The 23895-nt window shown below is 39.7% G+C and overlaps 1 long non-coding RNA gene across 2 annotated transcripts in view; it reads left to right on the forward strand.

The window, feature by feature from the left end:
• Positions 1-241: 241 nt before the first annotated feature.
• Positions 242-23895, forward strand: part of LOC101928219 (uncharacterized) — a 182425-nt gene continuing 158771 nt past the window's right edge. For both annotated transcript variants that reach the window (XR_001738162.2, XR_246378.6), the window contains exon 1: positions 242-374. This is a non-coding gene — a long non-coding RNA (uncharacterized LOC101928219). The remainder of the gene's footprint in view (positions 375-23895) is intronic.

Consider the following 23895-nt stretch of genomic DNA (forward strand, 5'->3'; position numbering starts at 1 on the left):
ACTGGGTATCTACCCAAAGGAAAATAAGTCATTATATGAAAAAATACTTGCTCACTCATGTTTATAGCAGCACAATTCACAATTGCAAAACTGTGGAACCAACCCAAATGCCCATCAGTCAACAAGTGGATGAAGAAACTATGGCATATAAATCAGATAAGTCTTAGATTGCAATGATGTTGTAACTGGATCCAATCACTTACTTACTCCCTTAGTGAACTTTATCCTGAATCTGTTTGCCACTTCTCTGCTGGTCCCTGCCTGTGTAAACACCATGACTCTGGGTTCTGCTCAGCAGACTGAAGGGAACACAACTATGATGATTCTCTATGCTGTACTTGGAGAAGGCTGGTTAGTCATAAGTTTTAAAGCAGGTCAGTATGGTGGATTTCCAGTCTGCCAGCCTCCTTTGCAGTGGGTTGGGACCGAGTGACGGCTTCTGGCAAATGAACTGTGAGTGGAAGTGACATGTATACTTCTGAGTCTGAGTGGTTAACAGCCAGTTAGGTGCCTCTCCTATCTGTCTCTTTTCTTGTTGAGGTAAAGCCACATGTTCCAGGTGGTCTAGCTATAAGATAGACAATGCCTATCTGTCACTGAGAATTCGGGGGTTATTTGTTTTGTTGTTTGTTTTTGTAAAGACAAGGTCTTGCTATGTTTCCCAGGCTGGTCTTGAACTCCTGGCTTCAAGTGATCCTCCTACCTTGGTGTCTCAAAGTGCTTGGATTACAGGTGTGAGCCACACCGCCCGGGCTCGAGTTACTTATTACTAAACAAAGATTCGGCAAGTGGTTCTCAAAGTGTGGTCCAAGAACCCCTAGGTGTTCCTAAGACACTTGTGTAGGGTTTGCTAAGTGAAAACCATTTTCATAATAATGCCATGATGTTGTTTACCTTTGCCACTCTCATTCCGTCATGATTATATAGCAGAGTTTTTCCAGATGATTTAAGATGTGTGATAATGTCATTTCTCTTACAGCTAATGACATGTATCCTTGTATATTCTTGTGTTAAAAATTGTTTCTGTTTAATTTCTAATGTGATAAATATTAATAGGTAGAACATATATAAACAAAAGTTCTTTGAGAGTCCACAATAACTTTTTTCAAAAATGTAATGGGATCTTGAGACCAAAATATTTGAGAACCACTAGATTAGTTAGTTCTACTTTGCCTAATACAGAAATTATATGGGCAATTTGGAGTGGGATATAGTGATCCTAACCTCTTTTGGTTTAAATCAATTTTAAAATTAATTTTCAAAGCTTTTTTATGAGAGAAGTACAGAATAAAAAAATTAATGCATTTTAAATTCAATAAAGTTATTTTGGTGGGGCATACTGAAAGACATTGAGCATTGAAGGAATAGTTAGAAGATAAGTGTGGAATTTGAAAGCCTGGATCATAGAAAAATTAATGATACACAGAAGAAGAAATTGTATAGCAGGCACATTTTATTGCTGAGCATATTAGTCAAATGTCGGTTGATAATTTCTACCCATAACATTAGCAAGAATTTTAGTGAATAAACTATGCAAAGGCATATAAGTTTAGAAGACTAGCTATGCTCTGTTTTTCCTAATTGTTAAAGCAAAGGGATTAAGATTTTATGAATACCTGTTTCCTGCTGTATATTTTATGTATATTACTAATAATTAGTAATCCTTACAACCCATAAAAATGAATTTTAATTACAACTGCCATTTTATGGATGAAACTGACCTTCACAATCAGAATCAGAATTTTAAAATGAAAAACTTAAAAATTTAAAAAAATTAGAATTTAAACTTAGATTTTTTTTTTTGCTCCAATACCTTCACTTCTTCCATAATGCCAAGCTGACCTGATAAAATCAAGTCAGAAATAAACAGAGATTGAATTATCATGAAGGAACATGAGCATCGGAATTTTTCTGACATTTTGCTTTTCAACAATTTTCCCAAAATGCCATTTCTGCCTCCATATACCTTAGTTCAAGGTTTGGGCAGGGATTTGTTGCTCATTACTCTTTCTTCAGATTCCATTCAAACATCTTCAGTGTTTTTTAATTGCCTGCAACCATTTAAGGCTCTTCTTTATTAATTCAGTCACCAAGTATTTATTAAGTTCTTACTACCTAGGAGATACTGTTCTAGATGCTGGAGATACAAAATAAACAAAATCTACAAACATCTCTGCTCTCTTGGCGCTTACATCAGAGAGGGAGCTGAGAATAAACAAGATAAATATACAGAATGCATGTGTCAGACAGTGATAAGGGCTAAGGAGAACAATGAGTCAGAGAAGGGGATGTGTGGGAGTCAGGGGAGGGAGGGTGCCATTCTAGACACGCGGACCAGAGTAGGTCTCAATGGGAAGGCGACATGTCAAAAAAGGTGTAAGAAATTGAGGGAGCTGCATGGGTATCCACAGGGAAAGCCTCCAGGAAGAGCGAATGCTAGCCACGAAGGCTTCGAGGTGGAAGCTGCAGGGAAAACAAAGAGGCCACCCTTGGTTGAAGCTGAGTGAAGGAAAGCTCACTTAGCTTCCTTGTAAGGTCCTTGTAAGGATTTGGGCTTTCCTATGAGCAAGGTGGGTGCTGGTTTAGTATTTTGTGCTGAGGAAAGACATGATCTGCCTGGTGTTTTAACAGAACCATTCTGGTTCCTTTGTTGGGAATTCTGTGTACAGAGGGCAAGGGAAGAAGCAAAGAGACCTGGTAGGAAGATATTGAAGAAATCCAGGTGAGAGACGATGTGACACAGGCCAGAGTGATGGCAGCAAAGGCAATGATGAGAAATGGTCAAATTTTGGTTTTTAAAATAATTGTTTGTTGACATCAGAGAAAGAAAGGAGTCAAGAGTAACCTTAAGATTTTTGGTCTGAGCATCTGCAAGAAAATCAATTGTATGCAGAAGGGTGGAGGAGAAATAGGCTTGGTGGAGAGTACCAGGAACTCAGCTTTAGCATTTGCTGTAGACTGAATGTTTGTGTCTTCCCCAAATTACTGTGTTGAAATCCTAACTTTCAATGTGATGGTATTAAGAGGCAGGGCCTTTGGGAGGTAATTAGGTCATAAGGCCAGAGCCCTCATGAATAAGATTGATGCCCTTATTAAAGAGGCCCCAGAGAGACTCCTTGTCCCTTTCACTATGTGAGGACACAGTGAGAAGGCACTGTCTAAGAGGAAGTGGGCCCTCACCAGACACTGAATGTGCCTTGATCTTGGACTTCTCAGCCTCCAGAACTGTGAGAAGTCAATTTCTGTTCTTTATAAGTCACCTGGTTTGTGGTATTATGTGACAGCATCCCAAATAGATCAAGATAATACTCTTAATTTTGTGATGCCCATTAGGCTTCTACGTATAGATGGCAATTGGATGTACAAGTCTTGAGTTCAGGGTATGCAGTGGAGACACAAATTTCAGAGTCATCTGAATAAAGATAGCATTTAAATCCACAAGAGTAGATGAGATCATAAAGGATGTGATTGTGAATAGAAAATGGAAGCTGTCCAAGGCCTGAGCTGTATTATTTAAAGGGGAGAAGAGGGAATGACCTGGAGAAGGAAAATCCGTCTAAAAAGGAGCAGCCAGTAAGGTAACACTTCAACTTATCTTTCTCATAATTTTGTTATTCCATCTACTCCTCCACAGTTTCCATGGGATCCACCCACATGGTTCAAATTGGTCACATCTTTTCTTGCCTTTATATCCTCTCTAATGGAATGCTTTATGTGTGGCATGATGCCAACTACTTTTTTCTGACATGACTTTGAACTGGTCCGTCTTCAAAGACCATTTTCAATGCCTTTCTTTTTAAAATTTTTTAAAATTTGAGGTTAAATATACATATGTAATTTACCGTCTTTATTATTTTTAGGTGTACAGTTGAGTGTTAATAAATACCTTTATATTATTTTTCCCCTTCAACCCCTCCCACTTTCCAGCCTTTAGTAATCACCACTCTACTCTCTAGCTCCATGAGATCTACTTTTTAAGCTTCTGCATATGAGTGAGAACCTGTGATATTTGTCTTTCTGTGCTTGGCTTATTTCACTGAACGTAATGGCCTCCAGTTCCATCCATTTTGCCACAGATGACAGGATTTCATTCTTTTTATGGCTGAATAATATTTCATTTTGTATGATATGGTTTGGCTGTGTCCCCACCCAAACCTCATCTTGAATAGTAGTTCCCATAATCACCACGTGTCATGGCGGGGGACCCGGCAGGAAGTAATTGAATCATGGGGGTGGTTACCTTCATGCTGTTCTCGTGATAGTGAGTGAATTCTCATGAGATCTGATGGTTTTATAAGGGGATTTTCCCCACTTCGCTCCGCACTTCTCCTTCCTGCTGCCATGTGAAGGAGGATGTGTTCGTTTCCCTCTCTGCCATGATAGTAAGTTTCCTGAGGCCTCCCTAGCCATGCGAAACTGTGAGTCAGCTAAACCTCTTTATAAATCACCCAGTCTCCAGTATTTCTTCATAGTGCATGAGAATGGACCAATTCATTGTATATGTACCGCATTTTCTTTATTCATCTATTGATGAGCACTTAGGTTGATTCCCTATTTCAGCTATTACGAATGGTGCTGTGATAAACACAGGAGTGCAGATATCTCTTTGATACATTCACTGCCTTTCTTATATCCCCCAATTTTTCCCTTTTTTGTACCAACTGCTGCATTTTAAAAACAACTGATATATAGCAATTCCACATACCTTTGTGTACATATTTGTTACTTATCTAAACAGTAAGCTTTTTTGTAGTTAAGGACTGTGCCACCTTGCAGAGTACCTTGCCTACTTATTGAGAAAAAATAAATTTTGTTGAACAATCATTGGACAGATGTGGACAGGATGAAGATGCGAAGAAGCAGGATGTATGCAGGCCCAAAACAAATAAATAAATGAATGTCTAAATAATAACTTCATTTGGATCTAAAAATTATGTGTTGCTGTGGAAACAGATTTGTCATTACATTCCTGTACTAATAGACAATATAAGTTGTGATCGATCTGCTTGTGGTATAGCATGGACCCCCACTGCTATACTGCCTTTTGATTTTTAAATTCTCCTTAAAATCTGGTAATTGAAAGAGAATTTTAAAAAACTGAAAATCAGACATGGCACTAGAATAATTTTAATAATATAGGAGATACAATCTAGTTATCCATAGACAAATACTTCCCTAATCTATTTATAAAATGAAATCATAAACATTTGACCTACTGTCCAAATTTCAGTTTGCAGATATGCATTTGCTTTGTTTGCAGGGTCCTGCACCCTCCTTTGGCAACAGGCCCCTCTGCTTCCTACAGTTTGGTCCAGGGCCATTTTACACATTTACTTTATCTATTGTAGGCAGTCCACTGGGTTTCTCAGCTCCATTTATGTATTATTAGCGTTCCACCATTTATGTGGAATACGTCAGAAATTAATAGTACCTTGGAGTTGTGCAATGCAATAGGCCATCCGTTTAGCTCCTGAAGACATTTGAATGTGTGACCTTTGTTTAAGTAAATAAATAACACATAATTATTTTAACTTTAAAAAAAAATCAAGTCCTACCATTACCTTGTAAATAATGTACCTTAAATGTTAATTGGGTTAGGAAAACCACTAGAAATGAGGAATAGGAAGATTCTGACCAGATGTATGCAGGCCCAAAACAAATAAATAAAAAAAGGCAAATATTGTAAAACTTCAAAACAGGCTTATTCAGGAATGAAAGTTTTACTTTTGATCTTCATTATTGACTGGCTTGATTGCCTTGTTTCTACTTTAGGTTCTTTCTTGCCCTGGAGACTCAATGATTTTATGTCTAGTGGTTCATAAGTCACAAAATATCTGGAATTAGGTGGTAAGTATTTTTCTTTCCATAGTGCAAGCCTATAAAACCTCAGCAGTTTGTATTTTGAGGCAATCAAAACTAAATGGAGTCCTGCATAATTTGCTTCCTCTTCCTAATGTTTCCATAAAAACAAAATACTATAGACGACCCCTGAAATATAGAGACCTTTTCCTTTCTGAATGTAAATGGAATGAAAATTAGCTTGAACAATCTCCCTACATCTATATATATATTTAAACATAAAAAATACCACATTTCACTTTGCTCACGTACTATACAATGATTAGAAATTTTAAAAATATTTGAGTAGTTACTCTTTTTAAAGATAAAAAGCCAACAACAACAACAAAAAACCTTTTGGATAACTTGAGATTTTTAGGGAACCAAACTAATGATAGATCATTACTATTGTGTAAACTACCTTCAAAATATCTCTGAAAATGAAAGAGATGGGAGATAAAACCAGCAAAGCCTCAGAACTTTTTATTAAATCACCCATCTTTTCATTTCTACATCATATGAATAGTCAGCCCTTTTGCTGCTAGCACAAAATGACCCTACAACGTTCACAATGGCTTTTCCTATCCTTTTATTATAAAAAATACCTCTCCTTCCTTTTCACCTTCTGGGAGACTTTTGGCCCTAGAACTTCTAGAAAACTTGAAAAAAAAAAAAGAATCTGAAGGAAGAATGGAAGCTGACTTTGCAGATCTGGCCATGGCTTGGGTGATAGGCTCTGACACTGAGTTAAGGAACATTATTTTGATGGGAGATGTTATTTTTAGAGCCAGACATGGTGCTTTAGAAGAGATGGAAACAGACAGCGCCTTTCTCCTAAAGTGTCGGCACTTTGATTTGTCCAGGACAACATTCATGCGAATGAGGCCTGGAGAGTGTAGCTGGCAGGCAAATCAGCATAATGAAGCTCCCAGCAGAAGGGGGCTTTCAGAAGCTAGTTGAAGATGAAGCTAGAAGGGCCTCAGGGTAGGAGATTATTCAAAAATTAAGAAGGCAGCTGAAAATAAGGCATAGAGAGCTGGGGAACCTAATGGAAGTTGCTCTGGGGAAATAAAAAAGACTGAGAAGGTCAGGTGTGACTACATATGAAAGAAAATAAGGTACAAATACCTAATGCATGAGGGGCTTGAAACCTAGATGACGTGTTGATAGCTGCAGCAAACCACCATGGCACATGTATACCTGTGTAACAAACCTGCACATTCTGCACATGTATCCTGAGACTTAAGTAAAATAAAAAAAAAAAATTTTAAGATGAAAAAAAAAGAAAAAAGTAAGGACAAGGGTGAAAGTAAGAAAGGATTTAAAGAGACTGACAGCTGCAAGAGAAAGCCCAGTGGAATCAAATGACTTGGGAACATAAATGGCATATCCTGATTGAACTACTTGATGAGTGATGTCTATTTTCTAGAATTTTATGTTAGGCAGAGCAGGGATAATATAAATTAGGTTAACATGCATGCTCTCGGTTAGATATTAAGCAAAATAAGAACTCAGAACTTCTTATCTGCAAATAAAGTGACTGGTCAGGAGAGCATTAGGATTGTCTTCCAAGGTACAAACTCTGTATTATGAAGACCAAGAGGAGAATCTTTGTGGAAATGACTAGAATAAGCCTAATTTATTTATGAGTTAAATATCTAAAATATACACTAGTGAGAAAAAGATTGCTTATGAACTCACCAAAGTAAAAATGTTTTTGGAATAGTGATGAAGATTTTCCCATCTATATTTCAAAGAGTGATTGTTACTAGTTCCTGAGAAAAACTGGGAAGAAGCCAAAGGTAGAATAACGTAGGAGAAAGGCATGATTTTTAGTGTAGCAAGTAGATGTATGATTTGGCTATTAGGGGAGAAATTGATAAAATTCAATCACCTGCCTATAACAGAAATAATAATGCAAATGGATTTAATTGGCTTAATTCAAAGGGTTCAAATGGATGCAGAATAACTGTAGAACACTTTCTAAAAGCAATAAATTTACCATAATTTCATACATTCACCAGAAGAATTTAAAATTAACTAAAATGTGACCTTACAAGGCCTGAAAGTCCCATTATTCAATTTGCTTATTATAATGGTTAGAAATAATCCTTGTCTAAATAGATGATGGGGCTAGATGACATAGCCTATGGAGCCAATAAGTATCCTTTTAATTGCATAATGTCCAATGAAATATATTAGACCATTTGTGTTTGCAATGTGTTGAAACAATTTGATGTTATATTTGCAAACTCATTGGCATTGGATGGTGTTTTTCCTTGTTTAAGAATGTTTCTAATAAAATTTCAGATTAAAAAGATAGAATTTAATACTAAAAATTTTAAGGGAAAGCTTTATACATAAGCTGATGAATATTTAATATTTGGATGCTACTCACATTGAGATATTGAGACATGGGAGGGAAAACACTTTCAATACTTCAGAATACAACAGGAAAGTCTAATGACTATACTGCTAGAAAACATTTGAAATTTTTTAACATTATGAATTTTTAGGTTATGATGGTTAATACTGAGTGTCAACTTGATTGCATTGAAGGATGCAAAATATTGTCCGTGGGTGTGTCTGTGAGGGTGTTGCTAAAGGAGATTAACATTTGAGTCAGTGGGCTGAGGAAGACAGACCCACCCATAATCTGGGGGGCACAATCTAATCAGCTGCCAATGAATATAAGGCAGGCAGAAAAATTTGAAAAGGTGAGACTGGCCTAACCTTCCAGCCTACATCTTTCTCTTGCGCGGAATGCTTCCTGCCCTTGAACATCAGACTCCAAGTTCTTCAGTTTTGAGACTTGGACTGTCTCTCCTTGCTCCTCAAGCTTGCAGACAGCCTATTGTGGGAACTTGTGATGGTGTAAGTTAATACTTAATAATCAGTTGGGCCACCAAGCAGCTGGTTGGCTTCTGTTCATCTTCACTTTTTAATCTAGGAGTATCTTTAGTTAATAGTTGCGTGGAAAATGAGCCAACTGCAAATATTTAGAGGCAAATTTTAGGGGCACTAGTAAAGACATATTATTAAACGTGGTTATGTGCCAGGTAATACAGAATTGACACAAAAGGAACCTAAGTGTTGGGGTCATTGGGCTTAGCAGAAGACACACATGGTCTCTTTTTGTCCTCATGACACTTAGTGTGGGAGCAAATATCTTCATGTCATATATGAGGCAACTGAGGTTTAGAAAGGGTAAAGAACTTTCTTAAAGTTCCAGTCCTGGTATGTGAAGGAGTCAGACTTAACTGAGATCCATGGTTTAGCCACCACCGAGCTTGCCTCAGTGTGAATTTACTCCCGGTGGCAGACAGTTGATCAAGGTGGACGTAAAAGAAGCATATTGTTGAGGAATCACTAGAGCTGGTGCTAGTAGTTATAGAAGTGGGGTAAGTAATTGCATGACAGGGACATATTCCTTTCTTAACACTGTTTGGTAGTTTCCATAACACACTCTAGATTATTATGCGTCAGGCACCACACCTGATACGGAGATACAGTGGTGAAGAAAACAAAGCTTTTGGTTTTATATAGCTTATAACCTCAGGCCTGCCACCCTCTTGGTAAAACCGATCTCTTGCCTACATGTGACCTACACCCTTAGTCTTATGCCATAAAGCTCTTGACCACATTCTGTACCTCATTCAGCCTGCCTTCCTTCCATCTTCCCTCCTATATCTGGCTGGCCCCTGGCCCTCACCAAGGCAGTTGACTGACCTGGGGTCCCGTGGGAAGGTCTAGACAGGGCCACCTAATGAGTTCATGGGTCCTGGGTGCTTCTGCCTTCATGGGCCCCTCTTCTATAAACATCACAGTAAAAATTATGTTTCATGACTGAGTTGATATCCAGATGACTCTATTAACATTACATGCTAAACTATTTTCTTTAACCTAAATGGTTTTTTTTCTTCTGTTTTTAAAACAAATTAACACATTTTCATGGACCCCTAAAAGTATTGCAGGCCCTAGGTCCTGCATCTACTGTGCCTAATGGATTCACTGGTTGTGGGTCTAGTCACCAACTGGCAAAAGCTGTTGCTGACCTGAAAGTCAGACAAAATTAGTCAATAGGTACCCTCTTTGATTGATTGTGATCTGTCTGTGAGTGACTTTTCTGGGAGTTTAAGACTTCTGCCCTTTTGCTTTGACTGCTATAATCATCACTCAGTTGTCACTTGGTAATTGCCTAATTATATTATTTGGTGATAAGTGAAGTTTTTAAGCGACAAACTCTTCCAAACAGCTGTGATTGAATTTGTTTTTGATACTTTATTTAATTTACAATTGCATTTGTAAAATCAGAATTAGTCTAATTTATTTAATGACCCCCATCACAGGCTGTAGGATATTTTCTGAGGGCTTTTAATTATACATGAATCAACACCATAATTTTAGAAGGGTTCAAGTGAAGTAGGCATTCACATAATTTCCACCATTGGTTCTCAGCTAACAATTTAGTAATTTCCCCCTGCTACAGTAAAAATCTTCTTAATAAATACAAAATGTTTTTCCAAAAGGTTGAATTCATCTAGTAATTTAGAGATCTATCTTTCTCTTTTAAAGTTTTGGAATCTAGTTATTGACTTTTTCTATTCTGTTCTCAGGATAAATATATTTCTTTGAATGAAGTTAATGATGTTATGACTGATCCTGAACAAAAGGTTAAGTTCTTATAAGGACCAGAATTGAATTTTTGGTTAATTTGTTAAAGTGGTTTCATCTATGCTTTTGTTTTTCCTCCAAACTTAAGTGTCCCTTAATTAGCCTTACCTTAAAGGGAATTTGCATTACATTTCACTCTTTTAGGGAGACCATGATGATGACATTTGGAAGCATCTCAGGAGACAAGAATAAAACGCCATTTTTTTTCCCACTTCGCTAACAACTCAGTGTTCTGAAAAGTCTGGAATGTGCTATGAAAAGTTTGTGTGCTTAGTGAAATGTTGTACAATTGGCCAATCCACTAAGTCTTGGGAAATGTCTTAGGAGCTTGGCAAGAAGAAGTTCTCAAGAGAGCCTGAATGCTGCCAGTTTCCAATTGGCCAAGACACATTACAAGGACAACTGTCTCTCTGAGCAACCTGGCATTTCCACTCCAATTGGAATCTGCAAGGGGAAGATGCGCAGGGGAAGAAGATTAAACAAACCTTTTCAGATTTCTGGTCCAGGTGAATTTTTCATTTATCTGGTGTGCTTCACTCTTCTTTTGATCACTGACCATTTCCAATATTAGGGAACACTGGACACATTGCAGGTTCATTTTTAGAACTGATCAACAGCCAAGGAAAATGCAAGATGAGTGAACTGATCTATCTTTATACATAAACACAAGGCGTTTAACCTGCCTGAACAGTTCAAATTGTTGCTAATAAAATTTTAGATCTGCTCTGTGAGGCAACCTGCCTGTCACGTTGGCTGTTGCTCAAGTAGCTCCCACCCTCGATGCATGTTTAGGAAATGTGACAGCTGTGCTCTTTGCCTGGCTGCTTCCATTTATGAAAACATGGGGGTAAATGGCAGTCACCCCCATAGGCCATTTACTGTGAATCTTCTTTTCTAGGCACAGCCAAGACTAAATGCCCCCAACAGAATCGAATAACAGTCATTCAGGGCCTACCTCAAATAGGTTTAATTTGCTTTTTACAAAAAAAGGCCTCAGGAAATTAAAAAATTTGCCTAATTGGAATTCTAAAAAACATAGTTTTTTTTTTCTTAAAACAATACCCATTTTATGTGATTTTAACATATCCACTTCTGATGGTAGCTTCTCTAGGGAAGCAAGACAAAAATATCCAATTACACCAAGTAAAATTTGCCACCTAAAGTTTATCTTCTGGGTATGGCTGGGGAGGGATTATAGGGCTTGGAGCCCACACATGCCCCTTTGGCAAATCTGATCTCATTCTATCTTGTAAGCATTGTCAGTGGTGTCATCTCTGAAAAGAAAACCTAGTGGCAGATGAGTTGAGACAGTTCCTTCAGTGTGGGTTATTAATTTATCTTTGTCTGTAGAATACTGGTTTCCTTTATCACCATGCTCTTCCTGTCCCTGCATCTTTCAAAGTGCTCCTGGGATTTTGCTTATGCTGTGTGATGCTTATCAGAGTGGTCTCTGCCCTATCTTGTGCAGTCAGCGCAGAAAGGGAGCCAGGGAGATTCTGGGGCAAGCCCTGACACATTTCCCATGTTCCCATCTTTGCCCATGTTCCCATCTTTGCCCATGTTCCTATAGTCTGAAAGCCATGCTTTGAAAACTCCCCCTTCCCCTGCCTTTTTAGTTTCTATTACAGTGTCACTATTGTGAATCCCTGGGCCACCACAAAAATACTAGTGTAATGGGGCTTAAGCAAGTGAAGGCTTCTATCAGATGACTGGAGATCAATATGGAAATTTCATGCACTGCTCCTAATAGGTCTCATTACTCTATGAGCAGACATGCATATCTACTTTTTTTGGATGGGATGCTTTGAGCAGAGCTCTTCTTGCATGTAATGAGTGATGAGTGAATAAGTGAAAGGAGAATCCCAGTGAACAACACCTCTGTCTGCTTTCATGTCTTTGATGAGCACCAGGAGGCTTTCCCAGATTGTCCCACTGGTGTTCACTCCAGTGTTTTATCACACAAATTATCCATTTCCATTAGTACATATATTTATACCCCTCCTAGGTGCCAGGCATTTTGTTAAAATGTCAACCTCCAGACCAGTAATTCAGTGTCTCAGGCATCAGAAATCAACATGGAGAGATGGTGAACCCAGCAGACAATCCTAACAGCAGGTGGAAAGTGCTTTGCTAGAGGCATCGCAAGGGCTGGTGGGAATACAGAAAGAGCACCTGGCCCTGACTAATGAGGTTAGAAGAGATGCCACTTTAATTTTAAAAATTAATTGGCATTAGCAGTGAAGAATATAAAGAAGGGAGTAGTAGGAAGGAGAGAGAGATTGGCATTTTGAAAGCATAGAGACTTGAAGCTTGAAGAACTAAAAGCAAATGAACAAGATCTTCATTGTATCAAGATTAGGTATCTGCTGTTTTTCTACATCTCATCTCCTTCTGTTGGATAATCTTTGGAGATGAGGCCTAATTGGCCAGCATTTCCCACATAGACATCTTCATATGTTTATGGTCACTTCTGGTCTCTACACTTGAAGAGGGAGACAGGAATAGTGACTTTTGCTCAGAAGGAAGAAGACAATTTGTGAGAGAAGTTAAAATTGGGTCATAAAGCAGATGCCTGAAGGAGGTGGTGGTGTTTGGTCTGGAGAAATGACAACTCAAGGGGCTTCAAACCTTTGAAGGATTATTGTTCAGAAGATGGATTAGTCCAGGTTTGACAGTGTCCCACAATGCCGCCATGTTTCTTATCAGACATCAATAATTAAACAAAGCCTTTGTTCCCTTCAAACACCAGATGCAGCCTCACAATCCCCCTCAGCAAGGTGCTTTCAGCAGTAAATTCTGTACCGTAACTCGGATTAAAGTTTTTCGCCATTCTTAGATTGGACAGGAACTGTGTGTTCCTGAGGGTTCAACTGATACCAATGGGTAAAAGATATAGGGATTCAACTTTAAAAACTGTCAGAGTTGACCAGTGATGGACTAGGTCACTCCTAGGCTTAGTGAGTTTCCTAATATGAAAGGTTTTCAGATATATATATTAGAAAAAATGTATCATATAAATTTTTGTGATGTCTCACTCTCCCAAACCTAGCCTTTTGGTGAGAAGGGCCAGAAAGTAACTGTCTCTGAGAAGCAGTGAGGTCAGAGGTACCCCATGTCTAGGGATGACTGGTGTCTTCTTTGGGTCACAGTGGCAGCACTCCGGTAGAGCTCCAAAGCGGAAGATGCACCAAGGGAAAGGCTGAACTCCAGGCAAAGGGTTTTCAGTCTTGCCATGGTGTTTACTGTGGGACATGTGGAAAGAGCACCACTTTTTCAGGGACCACTAGTGGTTTAAAAAATTGGGACATTAGAGGCAACTGTGACAGGCTGGAGAGTCATGGCTTTTACCCCTTTAATCTCCTGAACTCTAAAGTGACCCTGAGAGAAGAAAGGGCCTTCAGTAATGGTGACAGAATTTCCTGCCAGCCAAATAGGCATGAGGCTTAGAGTCAGATTTTATTTTACTTAGATGAAAAAAAAAAAAAGATTTCTTCTACATGTACTTTTGTTTAGTGGCTAAGGTTTGCAACTATTACAATATGACCAATAATCATTGGCCAGGGGCTGGGTGCAGTGGCTCACGCCTGTAATCCCAGCACTTTGAGAGGCTGAGGTGGGCGGATCACCTGAGGTCAGGAGTTCGAGACCAGCCTGGCCAACATGGTGAAACCCTGTCCCTACTAAAAATACAAAAAATTAGCCATGCATGGTGCGTGCCTATAATCCCAGCTACTCGGGAGGCTGAGGCACAAGGATTGCTTGAACCTGGGAGGCAGAAGTTGCAGTGAGCCGATATCATGCTACCAGCCTGGGTGACAGAGCAAGACTCTGTCTCAAAAAAAAAAAAAAAAAAAAAAAAAAAAAAATCCTTGGTGAGGAAGTCATCAAGGAGATTCAAACATTGAAACCAGTGTGGACTACTTAAATTGTCAAGTCTCTCTCAATTCTGAGATGTTATACTTTTTTGATTCATGAAATTTGTAATCAATCATTTTCTTTACTCTTATTTAAGCAGAACAACTCTAATTCCTTCTATTCTACCTCATATGATGTGCAAGATATCTTCATTTACCTTTTGCACATGGCTTGTAAGCTTTAACAATAATTTCAAATTCTTTTAAATATACGGTTCCCCAAATCTGATACTATCGGCTAAGCATGGCCCCAAATTCTGCATCTATGAAATGCAGCAATTAGTAGCACCGGCTCAAGGACAGATTCACTGTGAAATTAATGAAGCTTCACTTCAGGGCTCCTCTCACATTTTCTGGGACTCTTCCAAGACCTTAGGAGCAGGGTTGTTAAATTTAGCAGATAAAAAGATATGGGATACCTAGTTATGTTTGAATATCAGATTCAAGTATATAATAAATGAATACTATATATATATATATATATATATATATATATATATAGTACAAGTATGTCCCAAATTTTTCATGAGACAATATTATACTTAAAAATTATTCACTTTTTAGATGAAATTCGAATTTAACTAGGAGTCCTGTATTTTATCTGGCAACCCCAGCAATAGAGCATTAGTAATTTTTTATTTTTCTTCTCAAAGACGGAGGCCAAATTGGTTAAGCTCTATGCCCCCAAACCTGGATTCTCTTGTGTCCTTAAAGCACGAATAACTTAAAGCACATTACCATTATTAAAACTACCATGGTTATTGCTGTTGTTTTAGGAGAAATATGCCTCGATAAAGAAAGGCCACATTTTATGGCCTTTGCTGACATATTCAGCTTAGGATGAACCAAGAACAGCAGCTCTCTTTTTCCTCACTCATGTTTAATTACTTTTTCTGTCTTGAAAATTCCATTTGCGTTAGGCCCTCTCTATTCACAGCATTTTAATTAATCTGTAGCATGTTCCTAGCCACATTCCTCACCACTGCTTCTCCTTTCAATAGATAAAGCGAATAAATGTAACTTCGAGTCAGAAACAGGATTCTCTCACTCATGCGAAAGCCTGTGAAAATATTATTGGAATACTCACAAAAAGAAAAGGAGAAAGAAAAGAAATTGTATTCTAAGGCCAATTGTCTGCTTTATTTTTATAGCTCAATGCCATTTTTATGATTTTTGAATAGCCGAAGAGGTCTTTCTCCTTTCCCCTGTATTTTAACCCACTAGTCATTTATGAGACCTGCATCAGCTCACTTCACCCTGGGCAGTAGCTCTATGGATGTCCATTTCTGACAATTAGCCAAGTTTTCTCTGGCTGCTTGCCACAGGGAACTGCTTGTCAAACAGGAACAATGAAACTCTATTTTAGCCAAGCTAGTATTTACCTAGCTCACCACCACTCTACTCCTATCAACTTAAGTTCCCATCAAAACCTGATGAATCCCATGAATCCTTGATAGAGCACTGCCAACCCATGAGGAGGGCTTCGTGCTGTTCCTCAGCATCTGGGATATAAAGGACTTTCACTGTGCTTAAGTAAACAATATGTTTCTTACCAGTTTCTTAAGGTTTCTTTGGCAAGCAACTAAGGAGTAGGCTTGTAATATTTTTACATACTATGCTTGGAATCGCTAATGCAAAATCAATTATCTCACCATCGTTTTAAACACTGTGGGAAAAGTACAGGAGTTATGCTAATGTTTCAGAGAATACTGTTTGCCCCCATGGAAGTTATGCTGTTTTATCACTGATAGTTCTCACCCTATGCTTAACCTTGAATGATTTTCCTTTCCCAACCGGTATCCCAGTGCCATGGTGTCACTCAGTACCTTTGTTTCTGTACACCAGGTCTATACTAGTTGAACACTTCAGGGCCATAAAGTCATAGTCATTTGTTTGCCAGTATACTCTCAGCAGTGGTTATCTCTACATTGACCAGCCCGCATTTTGTTTATCATGAAATTCAGTCTAAAGTAAACTGCAGAAACAGCCTGGACATTGTCCTTTATTGCAAGATACAGTGATTGTTTCCTGTGGCCAAAGGTTTTCCCAGGGTCAAAGCAGGCTGCTACTTCAGAAAGGTCCTAGGACAGTGTCATGGTATGAAGCAATGTCCTGGGTAAGTACTGAGAATTAAACTTGGTCTCCATTTTTTAAAGGGAGGTGGAGCACTAAATGACTGCTGGTCTTCAGGGCTTCTACTAATAATATTTATTACAGTAGTTGAAATATTTTGAGGGCTTTCTATGTGCCAGGCTTTGCAGTATGGGATTTACTACACCATCTCCTTAAATCTTCACCTCCTGATGAAGTGTCAATATTAGTTTCCCCATTATACAAATGCAAAACTGAGTGGTTAAAGAATTTCTCAAAGTAATAAAGCCAATTCATTGTGGAAAGTGTTGGTGGAAGGTCAAAATAGATTTGGTGGGCTCTGGCGTTCAGCATCATCTAACGTAATTAATCTTGGACCAAGTACAGAGCCACCTTAATTGAATCCTGGATCTACAGCTCACTTGGAGTTTTTTTTTTTTTAATTCTGCTTCTTTGTTGATAAGATGAATTTAGTAACAGCATCTGTAGTAACTGGTTGTAAAGATTGAAGGGATGCTAATAACAGTGACACTTATGAATGCTTATCATGTGCCAATCACTGTGTCTAAATTCAGTGAACATATCTGCTTATTTAATTCTGACCACAAGCCTGTGAGGTAGATAATCCTGCCTGTCTCCTTCTAGAGACAAGGAAGCTGAGGTTCACAGAAGTTAAGTAACTTTGCCAAGATTATGTAGAGAGTAAATGAAGCTGGGCTATGAACTCAGGCATTTGGTGAGCTTGGAACCACCTTTACTCCATTGCTTTCAGTAACATAACCAAAGCACTTAGCACAGTGCCTTGCCTCATGGTAACCAATCAATAAATGTTAACCATTTAAGAATATAACTCTGTATCAGACATTATGCTAGGCATTTAACATATATTATTTATAAAATTCTCAGGACCACCTAATAAGATATCAATGAACCCAATTTTGCATATTTGGATATCAAGTTGCAGATTAAATATTAGGTCGGTGCAAAAGCCATTGCAGTTTTTGCCATTAAAAGTAATGGCAGATGCTGTTACTAAATTCATTCCTTAAAAGTAATGGCAAAAACTGCAATCACTTTTGCACCAACTTTATACTTTGCCCAAGGTTACATCTCCTGCCCAACATCGCATTCCAAGTGGGTAAGTATATTGGGCACAGACCCTTTGCTTCTTTGTACCCCAAAACCTGTGGCTTTGACCAGTCTGCCAGATTATAGATGCTATTTTTAGAAATAACAGTCTCAGGTAGTGGCATGTTTTTACACAAGCCTATTAATTTTTCTGTTTCTTTCAAAAGCTCCCATGTAGTCTTTTTTGATACTTATTTAGGTTTAGTTTCTGAAACATTATAGTAAAGCATAATCATGAAATTGATCATGTATTACTACTTACGTTTTTTCTTTGGCCTCTCTGTCCCAACACAGTCTCCTCATTCAATGTTTCTCATCTCACTGGGAGTATTGACGCTATAGGAAGCATTTTGCATTCTAGGGCTCTACTGCACCTCACTTTGGGGTGATATATCAGACAATCAGTCACAGCAAGATACTAAGTGCCAGATGTTACTTTGTTAGCTAGGATCATCCTTTAAACATTTGTCTCCAGTCCTGAAAGGGGAAATGCCCTAATGTGCAGAAAACATGGCTTTTTATAAGGAAGCATTCAGGCTGCTAATTAGCCACCAGGAGTGATCCAAAAAAAATAAACTTAACCCAAAGGAAACGGGCCATATTCTATAACTCAATAGTATTTTCAATGGGTGAAGATAGGAGGAGGGGTGCATACTCTAAGGAAGAACTTATCTGATGGCTTCTCTTGTCTTTTTTTAAATCCTAGTGGCTACTGGGGTTTTCCTAGGACCTTTTTCATTTTCTGATTACTCAAAGAATATTTAGAAAAGGCTTGTTATGTGAATGTAGCTGTGCTGTGTACTGTAGAGACTTTTATTGTAGGATCTTTGCCCTTAGGGAGTTACTATTAGACACAATTTGGTTTACATGTCTTTGTATAGTTGAAATTATTTTGATTGATTAATTTATGTATTCATTAAACATTTTGGAATTGCATGCCTAGTGTATCTTTAAGAAAACCAGAATCATGATAACACTGAAATACATATTCTTTACAGGTTTTGTCTTTAGTACATCAACCGTAGGAGCTAACCAGGGAAAACATTATCTTGTACTAGTTTCCTATTTCTGCTATAACAAATTATCACACACCTAATGGTGTAAAACAGCATAAATTTATTATCTCATAGTTCTGGAGGTCAAAGATCCAAAGTGGATTTTGCTGAGCCCAAATCTATCTGTCAGCCAGGCCATGCAACCTCTTGCCTTTTTCACCTTCTAGCGACCTAGTGCATTCCTGGCTCATGGCCTCTTCCTCTGTCTTGAGATCTCTAACAAATACCTCTTTGACTCTGGCCCTCTGCCTCCATCATCATAACTCCTGCCTTTTGTGATTTTGATTTTCCTGTCTCTCTTATAAAAACTCTTGGGACCCTTGTGATTACATTGGGGCTATCCAGATAATCCAGGATAACCGTCCTACCTCAACATCCTTAATTTAATTACATCTGCAAAGTACCTTTTACCATGAGTATTAGTTTCCTAGGACTGCCATGTTCCCTCTAAGACTCTCGCTAGAGTCCTTCCTTATGTCTTCCTTGCTTCTGGCAGTGGTGGCAGCTCTTGGCATTCCTCGGCTTGCAGCTGTATCACTCCAGTCTCTGCCTCTTGCTGTCACATGGTTTCTTTTCACATAGCCTTCCTGTGTTTGTTTTCACATGGCGTCTTCCTCTTCTTATGAAGACACCAGTTATATTGGATTAGTGCTCACCCTAATGACCTCATCTTAGTTTGATTACGTCTGTGTATTATTCAGGGTTCTCTAGAGAGACAGAACTATGTAAAGGGGAGTTTATTAAGTATTAACTCACATGATCACAAGGTCCCACAATAGGCTGTCTGTAGGCTGAAGAGAAAGGAGAGCCAGTCTGAGTTTCAAAAGTGAACAACTTGGAGTCCGACGTTCAAGGGCAGGAAGCATCCAGCATGGGAGAAAGATGTAGGCTGAGAGGCTAAGCCAGTCTCACCTTTTCACATTTTTCTGCTTGCTTATATTCTAGCCATGCTGCCAGCTGATTAAATTGTGTCCACCCAGATTAAGGGTGGGTCTGCCTTTCCCAGCCCACTGACTCAAATGTTAATCTCCTTTGGCAACACCCTCACAGACACACCCAGGATCAATACTTTGTATCCTTCAATCTAATCAAGTTGACACTCAGTATTAACCATCACAAATCCACCCCTTGTCAACTTGAACCCATGCACATCTCTTGAGATCATATATAATCTCCAAATAAAGAAAATAATAAGGTCATAATTATGCCTAACATAATACAACTATCCTTCATACAACCAATGCCCAACCCAAATACCATTACATAAAGTTAACAATACTTAAATGCTGATGTGAAGTCAATAAATCTTATGTCACATGATAAGGAGAAAGGAAATAAAACGAAGATATTTTCTTAGTACAAGTGTATACATGCACAAACATGTTTTTAACAAAAGAAGGAGGAAACTCATGACAACTACAGTCCTCGTAGCTGCAGTTGGTCACGTGGTTGTAGCTGGTATTCATGACTACCTTCTTCTACTACCCATTCTGTATTCCCTTTGCCTTCAGCAAGCACCTCAGCAGGTCGTGGTTTTTTCCTGGTGGAGTGACCGAAACCGTCATTCCTGAAGGGCCTGGGTCATTTGTAGTCCTTCCTGGATTGGGCTGTTGTAGTTTCCCATTGACCTTAATCACAGGGCATGGTAATACTAAGAGACACCCAAATAGATCTCCTGTATTCCATGTGTACTCTTCCTTACTTCCGTTGTGGAGTAGTAGACTGATTTCACCTTGATAGTCCAGGTCAATCACCCCAGCCAACACTGTAATTACCTTCTTAGCCTGTTGACTCAAAGGTAGGAGGAGCCCAAAGGGCCCAGGTGGCAATCTTAACTTTCAGTTTAATGGAATCATTGTTGTGTCTCCTGATGGCAGTGTTCCTCCCTCTGGAACTAAGACCTCTAGGCCAGCAGAACGTAATGTCTCAAGAACAGGAAGCAAAATTTTTCCTAGTGGGCCACTAGAGGTGATTGTGAGTGGTGCCACTTCCACTTCTTGATTCCTGGACCCATGAATCCTGGCTATGGGAGAAACAGTATCATATATTGGATGCCGATTCAGAGCATACATGGCCTTCTGGAGAATTTTGCCCCAGCCCTGCAAAGTATTGTCACCTAGTTGGCATTGTAATTGTGACTTCAAAAGGCCATTCCACCATTCTAACAATCCAGCTGCTTCAGGATGATGGAGAACATAGTAAGACCAGTGAATTCCATGAGCATGAGCCCACTGCCACACTTCTTTAGCTGCAAAGTGAGTGCCTTGGTCAGTGGCAATGTAATGCTGTGTGGAATACCATGATGGTGGGTAAGGCATTCCATGAGTCCATGGATGGTAGTCTTGGCAGAAGCATTGCATGCAGGATAGGCAAATGCATATCTGGAGTAGGTGTCTATTCCAGTGAGGACACACCTCTTCCCTTTCCATGATGGAAGAGGTCCAATATAATCAACCTGCCACCAGGTAGCTGGCTGATCACCCCGAGTAATGGTGCCATATTGAGGGCTCAATGTTGGTCTCTGTTGCTGGCAATTTGGGCACTCAGCAGTGGCTGTAGCCAGGTCAGCCTTGGTGAGTGGAAGTCCATGTTGCTGAGCTCATGCATAACATCCATCCCTGCCACCATGGCCACTTTGTTCATGGGCCCATTGGGTGACAACAGAGGTGGCTGGTGAAAGAGACTGAGTGGTGTCCTTAGAACAGGTCATCCTATCCACTCGATTACTAAAATCCTCCTCTGCTGAGGTCACCTGTTGGGGAGCACTCACATGGGATACAAGTGTCTTCACAACTTTTGACCATTCAGAGAGGTCCATCCACATACCTCTTCCCCAAATTTCTTTGTCACCAATTTTCTAATCATGCTTCTTCCAAGTCCCTGACCATCCAGCTAAACCATTGGCTACAGCCCATGAATCAGTATATAATTGCAGATCTGACCATTTCTCTTTCCTTGCTAAGTGTACAGCCAGGTACACTACTCAAAGTTCTTCCCACTGGGAAGATTTTCCTTCACTGCTGTCCTTCGAGGATGTCCTAGAAAGTGGCTGTAGTGCTACAGCTGTCCACTTGCAGGTGGTGTCTGCATATCATGCAGAACCATCTGTGAACCAGGCCCTAGTCTTCTCTTCCTCTGTCAGCTCATCATAGAGAACTCCCCATGAGGCTATCGGTGCAGACTGGGGAAGAGAAGGCAGGGTGGCAGGAATGGACACCAAGGACATTTGAACTACTTCCTCACGTAACTTACTTGTGTCTTCACAACTTGCTTGAGCCTGATCACGTATATACCACTTCCATTAGATGATGGAATGCTGCTGCGCACGACCCACTTTACGGCTAGATGGGTCAGAAAGCTCCCAGTTCATGATAGGCAGTTCAGGTCACATGGTGACTTGATGACCCATAGTCAAATGTTCAGTTTCCACCAAAGCCCAGTAACAGGCCAAGAGCTGCCTCTCAAAAGGAGAGTAGTTATCTGCAGAAGATGGCAGGGCCTTTCTCCAAAATCCTAGAGGCCTCTGCTGTGATTCACCTATGGCAGCCTGCCAAAGGCTCCAAAGAGCATCCCTATCTGCCACTGACACCTCAAGCACCATTGGATCTGCTGGGTCATATGGCAGAAGTGGCAGAGAAGCATGCACAGCAGCCTGGATTTGTTGGAGAGCCTTCTCCTGTTCTGGACCCCACTCAAAACTGGCAGCCTTTTGGGTCACTCAGTAAATGGGCCGGAGTAACACACCACAATGAGGAATCTGTTGTCTCCAAAATCCCGATAGGCCCACTAAGCATTGTGCGTCTTTCTTGATTGTAGGAGGGGTCAAATTCAACCCCTTATCCTTCACCTTAGAAGGAATATATTGACAGGCCCCACACCACAGGAGCCCTAGAAATTTTACTCAGGTAGAAGGCCCCTGAATTTTGGTCAGATTTATTTCCCATCCTCTAGGATGCAAATGTCTCACCAATAAGTCCAGTATGTTTGGTACTTCTTGCTCACTGGATCCAATCAGCATCATGTCATCAGTGTAATGGATCAGTGTAATACCTTATGGAAGTGAAAAGAGATCAAGATCTCTCTGAACAAGATTATGACACAAAGCTGGAGAGTTGATATATCCCTGAGGCAGGACAGCAAAGGTATGTTGCTGACATTGTCAGTTGAAGGCAAATTGCTTCTGGTAGGCCTTATGGACAGGAATGGAGAAAAAGACATTTGCCAAGTCAATGGCTGCATACCAGGTACCAGATGTGTTAATTTGCTCAAGCAATGAAACCTCATCTGGTACAGCAGCTGCATTTGGAGTCATCACTTGGTTAATCTTATGATTACCCACTGTCACTCACCAAGATCCTTCTGTCTTCTGCACAGGCCAAATGGGAGAGTTGAAGGGGGATGTGATGGGAATCACCACCCCTGCATCTTTCCAGTCCTTGATGGTGGCACTTATCTCCACATTTCCTCCAGAGATGTGATATTGTTTTTGATTTACTATTTTTCTAGGTAGAGAAACCTCTAGGAAAGAGGTTTAATTGACTTACAGTTCTGCAGGGCTGAGGAGGCCTGAGGAAACTTACAATCATGGTGGAAAGGGAAGCAAACATGTCCTCCTTCACATGGCAGCAGGAAGGAGAAGTGCTGAGCAAAAGGGGGAACAGCCCCTTATAGAACCATCAGATCTCATGGGAACTCACTCATGATCATGAGAACAGCATGAGGGTAACCACTCCCATGATTATATTACTTCCCACGAGGTCCCTCCCATGTGGGATTGTGGGAACTGTGATTCAAGTTAAGATTTGGGTGGGAACACAGCGCCAAGCCATATCATCTGTGTAGGTAAGTGCTTGCCCTAGTGTCACATTCCAGAGTCCTTGGATGGGAATTTACAGAAATTGTGTTGGAATCATTGACAATAACAAAGATTTAGACATTTCAATCACTAGTTTTTTAGAGAATGCCATGGCCTGGCTCTATGGCCTTGGGTAAATCACCTTTCAAATTTGACCTTAGTTACCTGATCTTTGAATCAGGACGATTAGACAAATCTGAAACGAAATTGGGCAATGACTGATTAAGAATCCGAATGAACCAGTTCAAGACCAGCCTGGCCAAGATGGTGAAACTCTGTCTCTACTAAAAATACAAAAATTAGCCAGTGTGGTGGCAGGCGCCTGTAATCCCAGTTACTT

The sequence above is a fragment of the Homo sapiens genome, chromosome 1 (assembly GCF_000001405.40).
Source record: "Homo sapiens chromosome 1, GRCh38.p14 Primary Assembly".
NCBI classification, from domain to species: Eukaryota; Metazoa; Chordata; class Mammalia; order Primates; family Hominidae; genus Homo; species Homo sapiens.